General features: G+C 38.6%; 1 protein-coding gene across 30 annotated transcripts in view; it reads left to right on the top strand.

Annotated features, from left to right (window-relative positions):
* L3MBTL4 (L3MBTL histone methyl-lysine binding protein 4) overlaps positions 1 to 18,571 on the top strand; it is a 460,543-nt gene that overhangs the window by 158,885 nt on the left and 283,087 nt on the right. For all 30 annotated transcript variants that reach the window (NR_158610.2, NR_158609.2, NR_158611.2 and 27 more), the window contains 5 exons: positions 11,787 to 11,891; positions 12,946 to 13,081; positions 14,926 to 15,017; positions 16,503 to 16,657; positions 18,335 to 18,411. Coding sequence is in view for 24 of the 30 variants with exons in the window: in NM_001365765.2 (NP_001352694.1) it covers positions 11,787 to 11,891; positions 12,946 to 13,081; positions 14,926 to 15,017; positions 16,503 to 16,657; positions 18,335 to 18,411 (565 nt within the window). In the remaining 6 variants the exon portion in view is untranslated. The remainder of the gene's footprint in view (positions 1 to 11,786; positions 11,892 to 12,945; positions 13,082 to 14,925; positions 15,018 to 16,502; positions 16,658 to 18,334; positions 18,412 to 18,571) is intronic.

Raw genomic sequence — 18,571 nt, 5'->3', positions numbered from 1 at the left:
CATTCCTATTCTCTCTTTGTCTTCCTTACTTGAAATCTGAGTAAAGGGAATTCACCCTACCCCAAATTTAAGTTCTTCACCTATGCCTGAATTATATTTTAAAAATGGAATTTTTCTATCTATGCCTATACATTAAATAGAATCTGAAAGACGTGCACATGTGCATTTTGTTTTTGATAGGTGCATTTTGTTTTTGATAGTCTGAATTTGTATTTAGCCCTGCAGGTGCAGGAAGATTGTTCTGTGGAAATTCCTATTTGTTAAAACTCCTTGTGAAACTTTGAGATACCCAGAAGCTTTCCAGCCAGAAGAGTTTAGTCAGATACCAAGTGTTTGTGCTGTGAACATGGTTCCAAATTACTTGACAGTCACTGAGAATACTATCACTGTTTTAATATAGATGCTTCTTAGTACTTTAAATATTAATCATAAGCCAAATGATGACCATGTCTGGCTTTTTAGTACTTTTATAAAATGCAGTGAAATACTTTATGCATTCTGATATGCTTGGAACCAAATTATAGCCTGAGTCTGTGTCCTCTTTTCAATTGCCTAAACTGTTTGCTTGTCTACCTATTCTTTTTTTTTTTTTTTTGCCTTTTATATGTATTTTGTTGCCTTCAGTTTTAAGGTAACTTCACTGGTATTTAACAGTACTCCCAGGGGGAAAAAAAGCATTTTTTGAAAGAATACTGTGTGCATTATATTGAGATGTTTGGTTGGAGTTTAAATCACAAGGCATATCGAGACGAAAGAAGGAACTGTATTTTAAAAATAGAGTGTGGCCTTGTGACATGAAGTCATTTAAGATGATTAATTGCTGGGGCTCTGAAGGGCAGAAAGAATTCCCATTCATGCTCATTTCCCGTAGTTTCTAAAGGTCTAAGTTCTGGGGCAGAATTGAAGATACATCCTGATGTGGTTCAGATGCTTTTCCTACATTTAGAATCTGTGTCTCTGAAATGGTGATTGAAAGTACCAGGGTTGCTGGGAAATAGTTGAGCAGATCTGAAGTCTGGAACCAGACAGTCAGATCAGGACTGCTTTTTAGTTCCTGGTAGGGGTATGAAGCACTTGTAACAGGCTGCTTATCTGCAGTTCCAGCTGGAAGCTGAATGTCAAGTTCAGAGCTCTTCAGAAGGAGGAGGAATTAAAGAGGAAAATGGTGGCATTTGGAATCAAGGGTAGACACGACTTCTTGTTTAGTTAAAGGAAATATGTATTAGAAGTATCCTTGTCTATTTTCTCTGGGAAGAGTTTAGTCATTGGGGGAAAAATATGTGAGTTTATTGTTTTAGACACTAGACTCAGGATTTGTGGAATCAGTTCGGTGATGGCCAGTGAATTATCAAACAATTTGAGAAGTTATTTTAAAAAGTTCTTTCTGTGCAGTCCTGTATTATGAATGGTGTGGGTTCTTTTTCTTTGTTCATAAATGATCTTTGCTGGTCTAAGGTTGCCTAGACCTAGTAGTGTTTTATCTGCTCCGGTACGTGCTTTGTTTTTGTTTCTGAGACCGTAATTCAGTCAGTGGTTAGGATGCACATTAAAATGTTTATTGTGCAGCCAAATTTCTTACTATTAGTAGCTTCTGGGGAAATGAGGATTTTGCAATTGAAATTCTAGCAGAATGGATTCACAGAAAGCCAATAAGAACTGCATTCACTTAACTTATTAAAGTATATTTTTGTTGAGCCCTGAGTTCTGTTTCTCTATTTGAAGAATGCCTCTTGCTACAATCTTGGCAGCAGTTTAGGATTCTAAGTTCAGAATTAATCTATGAAAAATGTTCAAAATAACAAGGAAGTAGTCTCTAAAATGAAAGTTTAAAAATACACAATCAGCCATCCTTCACTGCCATCTTAACTGCAGCTTTGTAGCAAGTTCTGTTTAATTATGTAGGTGATGATTTTCCCCATCAGCCAAACAAATAGATGGCAAAAAAAAAAAAAAAAAAAAAAAGGTGTCACTTTGAAAAAGCGGAATTTGAAGCATGCCTTGCTGCTTGGCCTGTATCCCCATGATGAACAACTGCAGTGAACTGCTGTGTTCTGCTTACTGAAGGCTTCCAAATGTGTATTATTATTTAGTCAGTGGGTTGATTAATGACAAATCCCCTTGAAGGGTAGCCATGTGGCTCTTAATCTGTTTTTGGGTCTTAGACCTCTTTGAATATCTAATGAAAGCTATTGATAATATCCTCAGGGAATTAGGGTATCCTTAGGGAATAATAATATCCTTGGGGAAATGCTTATATCCATTTGCACCCAAAATTTTGTATAAAATTCAAGAGGATTCTAGAACGCCCGAAGACATCATGAACCCCACTCTGACTCCACTATTAAAAACAGCTATATTAAGGTGTAGTCTGAACAAGAATAGAAAAAGAGCAAATGTGTACATGTGGTGAGTGTGTGCGTGTATTAGTGTATATAATATTTTAAGTTCTCTGTTTTCTGTGATTAAAACAAGAGAAAGCCAGAAGAAAATCTAACATTCCTGCTAAGTGCCACTGTTAACTCAGGTAAAGATCATAAAGTTTCTCAAGGAAAAAGCAAGGAAGGAGCTTCATAACCTCTCATAGTCTTCCATTGTCTTGCAGTAAATAGACTTTTATGATGAAAAGATTTATTGCAAGATTCCTGGAAGAACATTGGAGCTGTAATAATGCAACAGAAGGTTGGAAGGATGCAGCCTGTGGTTGTCCATGAGCTTCCCATGAAGTCTTTGAAAGTGTTGGTAGATATCATTCCCATTATCAAGGTGAAAATTAGCATTATGGAAAATTTGACAATTTATTTCAAGCCTGAAATGTGGGCACCACCTTAAAATCCTCTGCCTCCCTTGTCCTCTGCCTCCAGCCAGGCATCAGGCACTGCCCATTTTACCCCCTAAGTATGTACTGAATCTGGCCACTTCCCCCATTCCCAGTCCTACTTGCACTGGCTGAGGTCCTCATTATCAGTTGTCAAGGCTGTTGCAACTTTCTAAATGTAATAGAACTTGGGAGTTAAGTGCACAGGCCAAGGCCTGAATTTGAATTCCAGGTTTTGTATTGACCAGTGTGCAAACAGAGCAATTTGTGAACAACTGTGAGCCTTAGTTCTTCATGTGTGAAATGGGGATTGTCATAGTTCCAATATAGGGTTTTTTGTTTGTTTGTTTGTTTGTTTTGAGACGGAGTCTTGCTCTGTTGCCAGGCTGGAGTGCAGTGGTGTGATCTTGGCTCATTGCAACCTCCACCTCCCAGGCTCAAGCGATTCTTCTGCCTCAGCCTCCCGAGTAGCTGGGACCACAGGTGCACACCTCCACACCCAGCTAATTTTTGTATTTTTAGTAGAGACGGGGTTTCACCACGTTGGCCAGGATGGTCTTGATCTCTTGACCTCATGATCTGCTCGCCTCGGCCTCCCAAAGTGCTGGGATTACAGGCGTGAGCCACCGCACCCGGCCCCAGGGGGTTTTAAGGCTTAAGTAGTTGACTTAGACACTGTACATGGCATATGGCAGATTCTTAATAATTGACAGATACTTAAAGCCTTTTTAACGTCTTCTACTTCTAGTCTTGCCACCTTTCTAATCAGTTTCCCACACCGCTGCTAATAAGATGCAAGAATATTTTTTGCATCTTTTGCTGGTGCTTTATCAATTAAGAATGAAATAAAATTTTCTTAGCAGGACATATGAGTCTTATCATGGCCTGCGTCCTGCCTGCTCATTTAGTATCACCATCACTTGATTATGTGTATGTGTTGATTTTTTAAGAATTACTATGTCATTTAACATTTTTAACAAGACAGAAGGGTATAAAAATAAAAGGGTCTCTCTCTGTCTGTTCTCCTCTCTAGATGAACCACTCAAAATAATTTGATGTAAATCTTTCCAGATCTGTATATATGTAGCTATGTAGATATGTAAATCATGTTTATGTAAATAGCTGTGTTTTTTTTGATAAAAAATGAAAACACACCATATGCTTATCTAACACTTGCTTGATATTGATTATGGCTGTCATTCTGCCTCGGCAGATGCAGTGATGTGTCTTGCTTTTTTCTTTTTTCTGAGACAGAGTCTTGCTCTGTCACCGAGGCTGGAGTGCAGTGGTGCAATCTTGGCTCACTGCAACCTCTGCCTCCCAGGTTCAAGCAATTCTCCTGCCTCAGCCTCCCAAGTAGCTGGGATTACAGGTGCCCACCACCACACCCGGCTAATTTTTTGTATTTTTAGTAGAGACGGGGTTTAGCCATGTTGGCCAGGCTCTTCTTGAACTCCTGACCTCAGGTGATCCACCCACCTTGGCCTCCCAAAGTGCTGGGATTGCAGGCGTGAGCCACCGTGCCCGGCCTGTCTTGCTTTTTTTGAGCAGCCGCATTGTATTCCATGGTCATGTCTATTACTTCTCCATCTAAAAGTATTTTTGTATATGATATTGTGGTGGGAATCTACCTGAATTGTTCTTTCCAAATTGGTAGTCGTGTGTTCTGATGCCATCTTCTTTGCTCTGCAGTGTGCAGTGCTACCTTTATTTATATTAAATTCCCACATTTAGGAATGCCTTTTATAGACTCCCCTTGGCACTGTTTTCACACTTTTGGCAGCTGGGGATTACTTAATGGCCATAGGTGGTACATATTAGACCACCAATTTTAGATATTTGAAACATTTATTATATTTATAATTATGAAATAAAAAGTTAAAAATTATGAAGTCTTTAATTAGCAAGGGGGATGGTGATGCTTATAACTTTTGGTAATATTCTAGCATCCAGACCAATCACTCAAACAGGAAAGCCAGATACACTTACACTGTGGCCTTGGGCATATCATCTGTAAAATGTGCATAATAACACTGCATAGGGTTTTTATGATGATTTAATGTGTTAATATTTGTAAGTACTTAAAACAGTATCTGGCGCAATGTTAAAAGGCATCTATGTATGGCTTGATAAAGGACAGCTTAGGCTCTATAACTATTCCTTCTCTATCTTATATTCTTCCTTTCTCTTACTGAGAAAATTGTATCTAACCATTCTAGGTTTCTGGCTACAACAGCAAGTGTTTGGCGGTTTCTCGCACAGTTCTCAATCATGCTGTTTATTCAGACCAAACATAAAATCTTTTCCTTTTGCTTCATCAAAGGCAGAGCTGACAAGACTCTCACACTCAAAACCTTGCAAGTTGATGCTCCCTATTTTAGCGAAGCCTGCAAGGGCCTTCCTAACTTTCTCTTTGGTTGTATTCATCCTGGAAAATACTTCTTCATGTTCTCTTCTGTAGCATTTGAATTATTTTTGACATTACTGATAGCATGATTGATTTTTTTTTCCATTGAGTGAAGAAAGTCATCAAATTTTGTCAAAGAGTTAAATTCTCTGTGGTCAAGCTGTTTATATCACAGTTCGCCTATGTAAGACTTCCTCATATTTCACCCTTTACATTTAAAATAGTGACATTTTGTCCCCCAAGGGACACATTGGAACAATTTTATATGTGGAAGATGTTGCTGAGATAAACCATTTGAGCAGGCTGCTGAATTCATGGCAAAGGCCTTTGTGTAGTAAGAAATTTTGTTTTTGTCATCTGCATATAAAATTCCTCCTGTGAACATCTTTCCCTTTGAGAGCTATCGTGTGAAGGTTTAGAAATCAGTGGCCTGAGGTCCTTGCCCAGTTCTTTGTATAACATGTTAAAATGTGTGCCTCGGTGGCCAGGATTTGATTGCAGGCCCAATTTCCCCCACCTCTCTCAATGCTGAATTAAAATGAGGAAAATATTTTTGACTGCCTACCCGTGCCTTTGAATAACATAGACTATTGAGGGGCATTCAGTTGGAATCTTGCAGCTATATCACTTGAGCGCTCTTCCGTGATACACCCCTAGCTGATGCTCTGCCAGCACTGATGGCCACAGACCTTCCCCATTCTACTGTGGTTCACAAAATAATCATGACAAAGCATCATCTATTCGATCTCATAATGTGGAGTGGATGGCACACACATATAATAATTATTGCTTTTAGGAATTTCACCAGTAGCTTGTCTTCAGTTTCTCTAGGCATGGTGACGGTGTTTTGTTTGTGTGTTTGTTTTGTTTTTTCCTCATGTTATGGCCCATTTTACAAGCATTTTAAATAATAGTATATAATTTGTACCTGCTTTTGTCAAGAGGTGTGGAACTTTGAATAATGTTTCTTTTCCTTTATTAGTGACAAAATCAATTTCATATGAGAAAATGTTATTTTGTGGCTTTTTGGGAAAAGAAAATGACAAAGCAAAACACCTTAACTTTTGTACTCAAGAGCACTGGCGCTTCTTTGGAAATGTCCTTGGGGCCTTCCATGGCCTCTAGCCAGGTTTCGTTTTGCCTGTTTAGTTGCCACTTCTGTCCCTTTATGTGGAACACACAGCTGGCAGGTTTTCACAAGACACAGGCCCTTAGTTGTACTAGGCTACTAAACTAGCTGTGTGACCTAGAGAAAGTTTATTCACCCTTCTGGGCTCGAGTCGATCTGTAATTTTTTCCAGGTCTCTGAACCTTATAATTTTTTATGACTGAATTTAATGGGCCTATTGTTTGCTTTAAGTATGTAACTCTAGTTATCTTTTCTTACCATAAAATATAATCTTATAAGCACAGTATCAATTATATTAATGAAACATAAGATTTTTAAAAAGGAAAAAATTTTTAAAACCTGTCAGTTCATGAATAAACCATTTAACAGAGAAGAGAGACTGATGAAAGGCAGTGATATTTCTCACTAAATGTTGCCTTTCAGATTGTTAAAATGAACGTTTTATTTTTTATTTTGAAACCCTCCAAGAAATGCTGAGTCTGTTTTAGCTATGTAATGTTACTTGCAACATTATGGAAAGCTCCCAAATGTTCCATTGGGAAACCAATTTGAAAGGCTGACAAGAGTAACATTGATCATCTTAACTTCTGGCTGGGAAGTATTGTCAATGTCTCAAATTTATCAATCACGTGTGATAAGACAGTATAGTTTGCTCAACATAACACTGTTTCCTCCCCACCCCTAATTTTGCAGTGTTTCAGTTTTGTTAAAACATGAACAATGTTCTTTCAGTTTCTATGGCTTCTTAAGTTTCCTCTCAGCATTAGTAACATTCTCTCCCTGTGGTCTACCTTTTTCATTGCATTTTGTCAGCGTTGTGTGCATGTGTATTTGTATATGTGTATGGCACTTTTGAAGTTAACCGAGAAATTTCAAAGCAGTGAACAGGAGGTAGTCACACAAAACTTGTTAAATACAATCTGCTGGAAAACATAGTAGATGTGAGAAGAAGGCTGGGAGAGTTAAACACACACATGACATTTATTTTTATAGAAATAAAATATTCCTGAGAAATCATTCATTCTTGCCATTTCATTTTGGGGTTTGTCATCTTTTAAGTTTTTCCTTAGAAGCTTCTAAAATGACCTCAGAATGTAAGAAAAATTTAACGATATTTTACAAGCCAATTCATAGGTTTTACAATTATTCCATGCTTATATAAAAAAGGCTTGCATCCAAGTATAGAAGAAGGTTGAATGAGCTGGGGTACCTATACACAGAGGAGTACAATGCAGCTGTGAAAAAGAGTACGTGTAATAGTTGGGAATGGACATGGAGTGGTTTCCAAGAGACATTAGTAATGCAAAAAGCCACGTGCAAAAGAGCATGTATAGTATGCTGCCTTTTGTGTGAGAAAGAAGGGGAAATAAGAAAAACCTACATATAACTGCTTATCTTTACAAAAAGAAGCTTCGGAAGCATAAACCAGAAAACAGTGAAGTTGGTGACCTCCACGAGGTGGTGTGAGGGAATGCGGTGGATAGAATATGGGAGGAAGAGATACATTTTTGAGTAACTTTTGCTAATTTTAACTTTTGGAAGCATGTTAATATTCTACATATTTAAAAAATCATTAAGAACTGAAAGCAAATTGAACAAATTTGAACTCAATTGTATTTCAAATGGATATTGTAACTTTACTGAAGAGAGAACAAATAGGAACCCAAGTAGTTCACGAGCACAGTTTTTAACAATATACTCCATTCTTGGATGACACAGGAGGGAGGGAAAGTTGCAAAGAAATCTTGAACTTTTAAAATAGGTTTTCTTATTATGACAGTATGGGTAAAACAGTTCTGAAACTGTAAGAGGCCCTGTAGGATTTGTTAAATGAGTAAATGTGTCGACTTTGCTCAAGGAGAAACACAAAGTGGATGCAGGAGGGCAGAACAAACCTTTTGGGGGGGGATTAGTCTTAGACATATCTGTTTGAACTTATGATTTATAAAATATATGTGTATGTTTGTATGGGTATACATGTGTACATGTCTATGTGTTAATGTACATATATGTGCATTTTGTATGTAACTAGTGAAGAAATTGGACAACACTGTGATTGAATGATCAAAACTACCATCACCAGTGAGGGACAGAAGGACATCATGTGCCTCTGAATGCGATACCCTGAGAAGGACACAACACATCCATGTAGTATTCTGGCAAAAAAATATACCACCTGAATCAAATCTTGAGGAAGCATCAGACAGACCCAAAACCAGGAATGTTCTAGTCAAAAAATCAGAGGAAGGGCCTGTAATCCCAGCACTTTGGGAGACCGAGGCAGGTGGATCACCAGAGGACAGGAGTTCTAGACTAGCCTGGCCAACATGGTGAGACCCTGGCTCTACTGAAAAAATACAAAAAAAAAAAAAAAAAAATTAGCCGGGCATGGTGGCTTACACCTATAATCCCAGCTACTCGGGATGCTGAGGCAGGAGAATCGCTTGAACCTGGGAGCCGGAGGTTGCAGTGAGCTGAGATGGCACCATTGCGCTCCAGCCTGGGTGACACAGCGAGACTCCATCTAAAAAAAAAAAAAAAAAAAAAAAAAAAAAAATCAGAGGAGGGGGAAGTCTGCATTCTTAAAAACATGTCAGTGCTATACAAGACAATGACACAGTATGGGAAAATTTTCTGATTAAGGAAGACTGAAGAGGCTCGTCAACTCGTAACATCCGACCCTAGACTGGCTCCTGCTTTGCAGGCGGTGTATGGGGGTGAGTGTTGGAAAGCATATTGTTGGATAAATGGACAAAATTGGAATATGAATGGAAGATTAGAAAAAGTATTGTATAAATGTTAAATTTACAGTTAATAACTGAGTTATGGTTTTGCAAGAGAATGTTCTATTCTTAGGGAAAATACACTACTCTTAGGGAAAATTATTTTGGGGTAAAGGGCCTTCAAAATGTTAAGAAAAAAATTTATATCCACATGTTTCTCTATCTATGTATATGCTCACAGAGACATATGAGAGATAGAGTAAGTACAAATGGTAAAGCAAAGCAGGTGAAATGTAGCAATGAGTGAATCTAGGCAAAGTCTATCTATGCATGTGCTCTCTACACTGTCTTGTTGTTGCAACTTTTAAATTTCCCAGTGGAATAATTTTTTTTTTTTTAGTTGGAGTTTCACTCTGTCATCCAGGCTGGAGTGCAGTGGCCCAATCTTGGCTCACCGCAACCTCCGTCTCTTGGGTTCAAGCGATTCTCCTGCCTCAGCCTCCAGAGTAGCTGGGATTACAGGCACACACCATCACACCTGGCTAATTCTTGTATTTTTAGTAGAGATGGGGTTTCGCCATGTTGGCCAGGCTGGTCTCGAACTCCTGACCTCAGACGATCCACCTGCCTTGGCCTCCCAAAGTGCTGGGATTACAGGCATGAGCCACGTGCCCAGCCCCTGGAATAATTTTTGAAAAGAATAAATTTTAACCCCAAAATAGGCATTCAGATGTTAAGCAATATTAAATAATAATACAATTAGTGATTAAATGCAGCTCTAGATCTAATAGATCTAGGTTCTACTCATCATTTTCCATTAGTATATGATTATTTGCAATTAACAATAAAGTGACTAGTAATGGTGAATCTGTTCAAAACTGTGTGCTTAAAGAAAATAATGATGAATTGGAGCAAATTAGGAAGTCTGCTGTGAAAATATTACAGTAAAAATAGCTATAAACATTCAAAGGTATCTAGAAATAAATATAGCAAAGTATATTGGCAGTTTTATGTGAAAATTGAAAAACACTTTTGACAGATAAAAATGATTAGATCAAATGGGAGAGAGAACAAGTTTCTGAATTTAAAAAACTTAATATGGAAATGATTGCTTTCTAAATAGAAAGGCTCATTATAAGCAAATAAAACTGTGTGATATAGGCAAATAAGTCAATGAAACATAAGAGAGGGGTCAGAAATAAGACCTACAAGTATGTAGAAACCATATATGACAGAGCTGACTTTGCCAATCAATTCAAGTATGGACTATTCAAAACGCTTTTCTTGAATGATTTGTTTTCCATGTGAAAAAAGTAGGCCTCTACCTGACACCATAGAAAACTCAATTTCAATTGTACTACAAATTTAAATATGAAGAAAGAAACTTCAACAGTTCTTAAAAAATACTAGGGACAGGTGCAGTGGCTCACACCTATATTCCTAGCCCTTTGGGAGGCTCAGGAGGGTGGATCATTTGAGGTCAGGAGTTCAAGACCAGCCTGGCCTACATGGTGAAACCCCGTCACTACTAAAAATACAAAAATTAGCCAGGCCGTAGTGGTGCACACTTGTAATCCCAGCTACTTGGGAGGCTGAGGCAGGAGAATTGCTTGAACCTGGGAGGCGGAGGTTGCAGTGAGCTGAGATCATGTCACTGCACTGCAGTCTGGGTGACAGAGTGAGACCTTGTCTCAGAAAAAAAAAAAAAAAAAGGAAAATACCTATGTAGCTTCAGAGTTAAGAAGGATTTCATAGGCTGGGTATGTAGAATGTATAGAAAATAATTGATATATTTTACTACCTTAAAATTATAAGTTTATCTGCAACAAAGTCACTGTAAACACAGTGAAGAGCCAAGTCACAGACTGAGAGTAGGTAATCCATATAATAAAGTGATGCTATCCAGGGTACAGGAAGGAAAAATGGGCAAAAGGAATAAATGGGAAGTTCATAGGACACACAACTTCATGGAGGTACTATTTCAAAGCATATTAACATAATGAAACCATCCTTGAGCACTAACTACATATAAGAACAGTCTTCCATCTTTAGCCACATCACTGAGCTTCTAAACTATACAGTGAATTCTTTCAAAAAATTCTTATTTGGGCTGGGCGTGGTGGCCTGTAATCCCAGCACTTTGGGAGGCCAAGGCGGGTAGATCACAAGGTCAGGAGTTCAAGACCAGCCTAGCCAAGATGGTGAAACCCCGTCTCTACTAAAACTGCAAAAATTAGCTGGGCGCAGTATGTAATCCTAGCTATTCGGGAGGCTGAGACAGGAGAATCACTTGAACCCGGGAGGTGGAGGTTGCAGTGAGCCAAGATCGTGCCAATACACTCCAGCAAGAGTCCATCTCAAAAAAAATTCTTATTTGATTTATGTTTTTGACAAATTATAATCATATATAACCCTGGGGTAGACAGTGATGTTATGCTGTATGTACACAGTGTGGAATGATTGAATCAAGCATACTCACACATCCATCACCTTAAATACTTACCATTTATTCCTCCTTTCTAACTGCCACTTTATACCCTTTGACCAGCATCTCCCCATTCCCTCAACTTCCAGCCTCTGGTAGACACCATTCTACTCTCTGTTTCTATGAGTTCAATTGTTTTAGACTTCACCTAGAGGTGACACCAAATATCTTAATATAAAACTGTGATGAAATCTCAGTGGCTAATGTTATGTCGTGAAATTTTGTAGGATCAGTCCTTTCCAGAGCATGAAAATGGTTTTCAGATTGGAATGAGATTAGAAGGCATTGATCCCCGACATCCATCGGTATTCTGTGTGCTTTCTGTAGCGGAGGTAAGAGGTGGTGTTACTGTCTTGGGCTAATTGCCTAGTGACAGAAAGATAATTTTCTAGAAAATAACAAATTTGTTTGATATTTATTATGAAGAAGTTCCAGTGCATTATGGATTTATTTTAGTCAGCGATGGGTGAAACTATGTTTCTTAGTGAATTTTTTTCCTTCTCTGAAGATGAATTTTCTAAAAAGTCCTTCATCAACTAGCATTTATTCTTGACTTAATTGGTAAATAATTTTCACTTGAGGTTGCTAACAATCTGTGAATCCCAGTGGTATTTTAACCTATTAACAGAGATGTACTTATTCACATTTTAGCTGAACTAATGAGAAATGTGTATGAATAATATTAATGCATATGAATTATATATTTATATAAATACATTCACTTTATGAAAATTATTTAGAGTGGAGAGCTCTTGATGAATGGCTTATAAAATGTAATACTTACTAAATATATTATTAAATCCATAAAAGATCTTTATATTTCTGATAGCATTGAACATAACAGTCACATTTATTTACTTTACTGATTGATTATAGCTATTAAAGTTGTACCACATGTCTAGAGGATGTATTTCTCAGACCATTTTATTATTCTCTTTATTGAGTGTGCTGGATACATATGTTAGAGTTGAAACAAGGCCATGCTTATTTTAGTTGTGCTTTGTACTTTAGCTTACACTGTCTTGGAATGTGAATCCAGGCCAGAGGGCAGAAGATAGGGTTGCTGAAGGGAATATTTGACAGGTATTGAATTAATAAATAAACCAGTTAATTAATGAATACATAAACTGACCCTCAGATTCCTAGATTGGGTAAAAGGGTCACTATTTTGCAGAATGCACTAGATACCTGTAAGACAGGGTCTAATTTCATTAGAGCTTAATCAGAGGTCATCCATAAATTTCTTCTTTAATGGAAACATTTGGATAGAAGGGTTGGCTCTTATATGTTGATAGTACTGACAAAATATATGAATATTTTGTGAATTTTGTGTCTACTCCAAATATATGACACTTAACGAATGATTGTAAACTTTCTATCTTGCAGGTTTGTGGTTACCGTCTAAGACTTCATTTTGATGGTTATTTAAGTTGCTATGATTTTTGGACCAATGCTGGTTCCCCTGACATTCATCCAGTAGGATGGTGTGAAAAGACCAAACATGAACTGCACATCCCTAAGGGTAAGCCAGGATACATTTACCAACTGGAAAGAGAATCAATTGGTATTTCACTTATATTTTAACAATACTTTATGAAATTCGAAGAAGAGATCCTGGTGTGGATTGATTTCCAAAATGAAATTGTGTTCCATAAAGAGTAGTAAGACTATAATGGTACCATTTTTAGAAGTAAATGTCTTTAAAGAAAAGCATAAATGACTATTTAGGTCAAATATTCTGATAATGTACAGAAGGCAGAAATAAAATATTATGAAAGCATTTTATTTTATTTTATATAAAGTTTATTAAACCTTATAAGCAGTGCAGACTAATATTTAAATCATGGTTGAAACAAAATATCTAATCAATGATACAGCAAGGTGAGGAAACTTGATTCACTGTAAGTAATTTGTTTCAGACTTAGGAATCACGGAAAACAAAGAACTATGAAAAAAATCACTATTTTCTTTCGATGGGAATGAAAAATATCATGGTTTTGTTATGTGCTAGAGGAGTCTGGGCCAGGCAGATGTGACCAAAACCTTTTCGATTTGCTGTGTGCAAGTGAGGTGGGGATGTGGTCAAGGATGATGCTGACGGGCTCATATCTTTGCACAGCAAACTTCTGTACATTGTCTCTGGCTTGGATGTCAGACTGTTCGATGTCTGTGGCAACTTCTGGAGTCAGTATACAGTCCTTTATTCCTAGTTATCCACTCAGGGTGTCCCTTGGGATCCTCCCCTGAGGCTGATGGCAGAGTCCTTGAGGTTGCTGGTTTGGAGGAAGCTGGTGACAGGCTACAGGCTCATTCATTCAGTAGGTATTTATGGAGCCCTTACCACGTGAGGCACTGAGGGCCAGTAGCAAGTAAAGCAATGTCTCTATCTCCACGGGGCTTCATTTCAGAGGAGAAGGATAATGGCGGTGGCTGCAGGGACACTCTTTCAGAAAGCATGGGGGAGAAAGGCCTCTCTGTGGACATAATGTTCCAAAGAGACGTGGGTGAAATGACAGAGGAAGCAGTGTGGTGTCTGGGTAAGCCCTCCAAGGGAAGAACAGGAGCAGGCGCCGGGGCAGGAGTGCGCTTTGCGAGGATGAGTCATCTCAGGGAGACAGCAGAGAAGCGCCCAGGTGGGAAGGTCGGGGACGAAGAGGGTGGTGTTCCCAGGCCTGGAAGGCTGTGCAGGGAGTTTGACTTCTGTTCCAAGGCTGGTGCTCAGAACCATATTTTGAGCCTGTACTGTTTGGCCAGCACTGTGTGAGAGCCACGCCAGGGCATGCGAATGGGAGGATGCAGCAGTTTTTAATGGGAGACTAGTAAAGATGCGGCGCAGAAAGCTGGAGCTGTGGAGTGGGCATTGGATTGAGAAGGCGTTTCTGTGCCTGGCATCCTGGATGGCTGCACCCTCAGGACCTCTGATGGTCTCTGTAAAGTCTCTTCCTCAGGAGTGGGGACAGGTACGGGAACTCTGGTCTCATCCCTTTGCCCATTCAGGAAAGCCTTAATGGGCGATGAGACTCCCATCAGGCCACCAGAGTACTGACTCCGTATCAGAGCATGTGAAATTGTATCGGGAATGATGCGCGTGATGGGGAAGCACTATCAACAGTTTTGCACATAATACATTTTAAAAAGGTGAAACAATTTGGAGATTTTAATTTAAATCTTTTGTGGGTGCTAAGGACGTTGAATTTATGGCAGGACACTAATAATAACCATATGAGGTTGGTGCAAAAGTAATTGCGTTTTTTTTCCATTAAAAGTAATGGCCAAAACCGCACTTACTTTTGCACCAACCTAATATATTTAATATGCATGTGATTACATCTTTTGGGTATTTTGAGTAATCTGTGCTTTTTTTAGGTTATAGAAAAGATAAATTTGTTTGGATGGATTACTTGAAGGCCTGCAAATTGCAAAATGCTCCAAAGAAATTATTCAGAAACAGAAGTCCTGTAAGTATTTTCTTTCCCAGCATAAATCAAATTTCCCCCAAGCTTAAATTTCTTAAAATTCACTATATATTCTGTTTTATTTTAATCCTTTAAGAAGTTATGGAAACTGTTAACTTCCTGTCACTTTTCTCACCTAATTCGTCAGTTTCTTGTGGGCATATCTTGGTTTTCTTCCTTTAAAAGTATAATTAAATACTTCAATTAGATGAGAAAAAGTTGGGAAAACTTAAAAACTTTATGTTTAAAGCCTACTAAAATTGAAAGTGTCTTTTAAAAATGTTTTCCCTTACAGGGAGTTAATCCTTTAATCTTGCTTTTGGTGTTTTGAAACCAGCAGATACTCTAAGTAGGCTTTGAATGTACCCAGCCTAGATATATTTAAGTGTAATGAAAATGAGAGTAACATTTTGTACTAATTGAAGGGGTGTTCTGCGGATCTGGGTAGATCACACTTCTTATGCCATCCGTGTCCCCAGAAATCTAGTGAACCTTCAGTGGAGGAGAATAAATTGCAACTCCAGAAGTCGGCTCTGCCACTGGCAGGCGGTGTCACTGTGCAGGCCACTCACTGAATTTCTCCAGACATCACTTCTGTGATCTTGAAAGCAGTGTTATACAATCGTTAAATATGTTTCCTAGATTTGTATCAAGAAAAGGAGCTATTAAAACGTGAAGTTGCTGTAAAAATAGAATGTGCTGAAGGAGAATAAAAATCAGGGTTTGATGAAAGAGAAGTAGAGAAAAACACCCTCTTTCAGTTCCCGGATACTGTATGTACTCCCTAAATCCCAGGATTGGCTAATTATAGATATATGAAGGGTGGGTTTGTAATTGTTATGTTATTGTAAATCATAGTTCATAGTATTTTTATACTAAGAAAAGCACAGATAGTAAAAAAGCACTCACATTTTAAAATTATAAATTTAAATTATATGTTAAATATATATAAATTATATATAAATACACATTTTAAATTATAATTTTATTTAAGCATGTATTTCTTAAATATTGAAAAAGCCACTTATTTTCAGATTGAGTAATCAAATTAACAGGATACTTTGGTGCTAATTAGAGCATATCTTCACCACTTTTTCAAATAGTGGCATTTGGAAACTTCAAAAGCCTATGGGAAGCAGAGAAGGTTATTTGATACTATTGTGTTCAGTAAACATCATATTTTAAAATTAATACAAATTATTCTAAGAAAAAAGAGGGAAATATGAAGATGATAAGGGAAAGAAAACCTCCCTGCACAACAAAAGGCAAAAGCACAAAGGAAAGCTAGTTTCCTGGGCCTTTGTTATGAATATAAACTGTGTGACAGTTGCCGGATATTTTTACAGGCATTTGATGGCTTTGTCCAGAGGCTAAGTGCTGACACCTGTAGACTTTGCTGTTGCTAAACATAGAAGTTTTGACAGTGGCTCAGTCCTATTTGGTGTCCTGTTTCTTTTTGTGCTTCTTCCCCTGCTGGTGCTGCGTTAGAATGGGCCAATGTCTAAAGAATTTCAGGTTGGAATGAAGCTGGAGGCCGTGGACAGGAAGAACCCTTCCTTGGTGTGTGTGGCGACCATAGCAGATATTGTTGAAGATCGCTTACTAGTGCATTTTGACAACTGGGATGATAGTTACGATTACTGGTGAGATATGAATGTGTGTTTTATTTTTGTGTATTCATATGTTTGATGTTAAGAATTTGTTTTCATTCTAGCACTGTTGCTGTTTTTGCTCTTCTAATAGTGATGAGCATTAGGAATTTGGTGGTTGACTGTTCATTACCTTCTCTTCCATGTGAATTACTGAATTAAAGAGCCCTAGAAACTTCTCCATCTGTAGAGGTTACCCAGTGAAGCCTCATCTGAAATAATATAACCTGTTCAGGACACTTTGCTGTATTTTGTCTAATTTGTGAGGACAGCATTTCTGTGAAGAGGAAGCTAAAAACTTTCAGCATTTTTTTTTTTTTGTCTAAAAAATCTTAAATGTACCTTATCACATTTTTTTTTTTTTTTTTTTTGAGACGGAGTCTCGCTCTGTCGCCCAGGCTGGAGTGCAGTGGCGGGATCTCGGCTCACTGCAAGCTTCGCCTCCCGGGTTCACGCCATTCTCCTGCCTCAGCCTCCCAAGTAGCTGGGACTACAGGCGCCCGCCACTACGCCCGGCTAATTTTTTGTATTTTTAGTAGAGACAGGGTTTCACCGTTTTAGCCGGGATGGTCTCGATCTCCTGACCTCGTGATCCGCCCGCCTCGGCCTCCCAAAGTGCTGGGATTACAGGCGTGAGCCACCGCGCCTGGCCACCTTATCACATTTTTAAAAGGAAAGATTCTGGGACAATGGGAGTGAATTCTTCGAAAGCCTATGGGGAGCAGAGAAAATGTATGCTACCATGCATGCCATTAAAATAACATGACATGAGTTGAAAGGGTTTTTTTTTTTGATTAAAAACCTGAAATATGCAAGAGGTCATGGCAAAAATAATTTTTATAGCATTTCTCCACATATGTCCCTCCACATATGTCCCTGCCTGAGGCAGTGGTTCTTTATGTGCCTGATGGGCCCTGTCTTCTCCTTTGAACTCAGAGGCAAAGCAGAGAGGTATTGTTGTATATGTGTCTTAGGCAGAATATTCTGGGTTCTTTGAAAAGGACAAGGAGGAAAGATGTCATCTGGAGTCTGATTGGACTGTCCTATTAATATTTTCTCTTGCTGCCAGCAAGAAGTGGTAGAAGTTTATTAAAATGCTCACTCACTTTTTTGGGAACATCACTGGCAGCTCATTCAGGCCCTTGGCAATCCTCTGTTAATTTTATACTTTTTTTTTTTGAGATGGAATCTCGCTCTGTTGCCCAGGCTGGAGTGCAGTGGCGCGATCTTGGCTCACTGTGAGCTCCGCCTCCCGGGTTCACGCCATTCTCCAGCCTCAGCCTCCCGAGTAGCTGGGACTACAGGCGCCCGCCACCACACCTGGCTAATTTTTTGTATTTTTAGTGGAGACGGGGTTTCACCATGTTAGCCAGGATGGTCTCGATCTCCTGACCTCATGATCCGCCTGTCTCGGCCTCCCGAAATGCTGGGATTACAGGCGTGAGCCACCGCGCCCAGCCAATTTTATACTTTTAAATTTCAAGAAGCTTATGTGAAAGAGAAGCTTGGTAACAGCCTACTAATGCAGTACTGAAAATTCCTTCTAATTCTCTCCAGCTATGAAGTACTGTTTTCTGTGGTATCTGTTGATATCCAGAATGATTGTTACTCTTGAATTCTTTCTCTGGCATGAAGTAAAACGGAACGTAATATAGAGCTCTGTTTTTGCAGGTGCGATGTTAATAGCCCTTATGTCCAGCCAGTTGGTTGGTGTCAGGAGAATGGAAGAACTCTGATAGCACCCCAAGGTGAGTGGACTGCCTGGGTTTTCTTTGAAGTCATCTCTGTGTGAGTGGCAGTCCTCATTTTTATTTTGTTTATGAAGACCAGATTTTAATACATATCTATTTAATATGATAAAAACACTATGTGAGATTCTGTTGACCACCAAGTGTCTGAAACCTGCAT

The sequence above is a fragment of the Homo sapiens genome, chromosome 18, assembly GCF_000001405.40.
Source record: "Homo sapiens chromosome 18, GRCh38.p14 Primary Assembly".
Classification (NCBI taxonomy): domain Eukaryota; kingdom Metazoa; phylum Chordata; class Mammalia; order Primates; family Hominidae; genus Homo; species Homo sapiens.
This window is presented reverse-complemented; position numbering and strand designations above follow the sequence as displayed.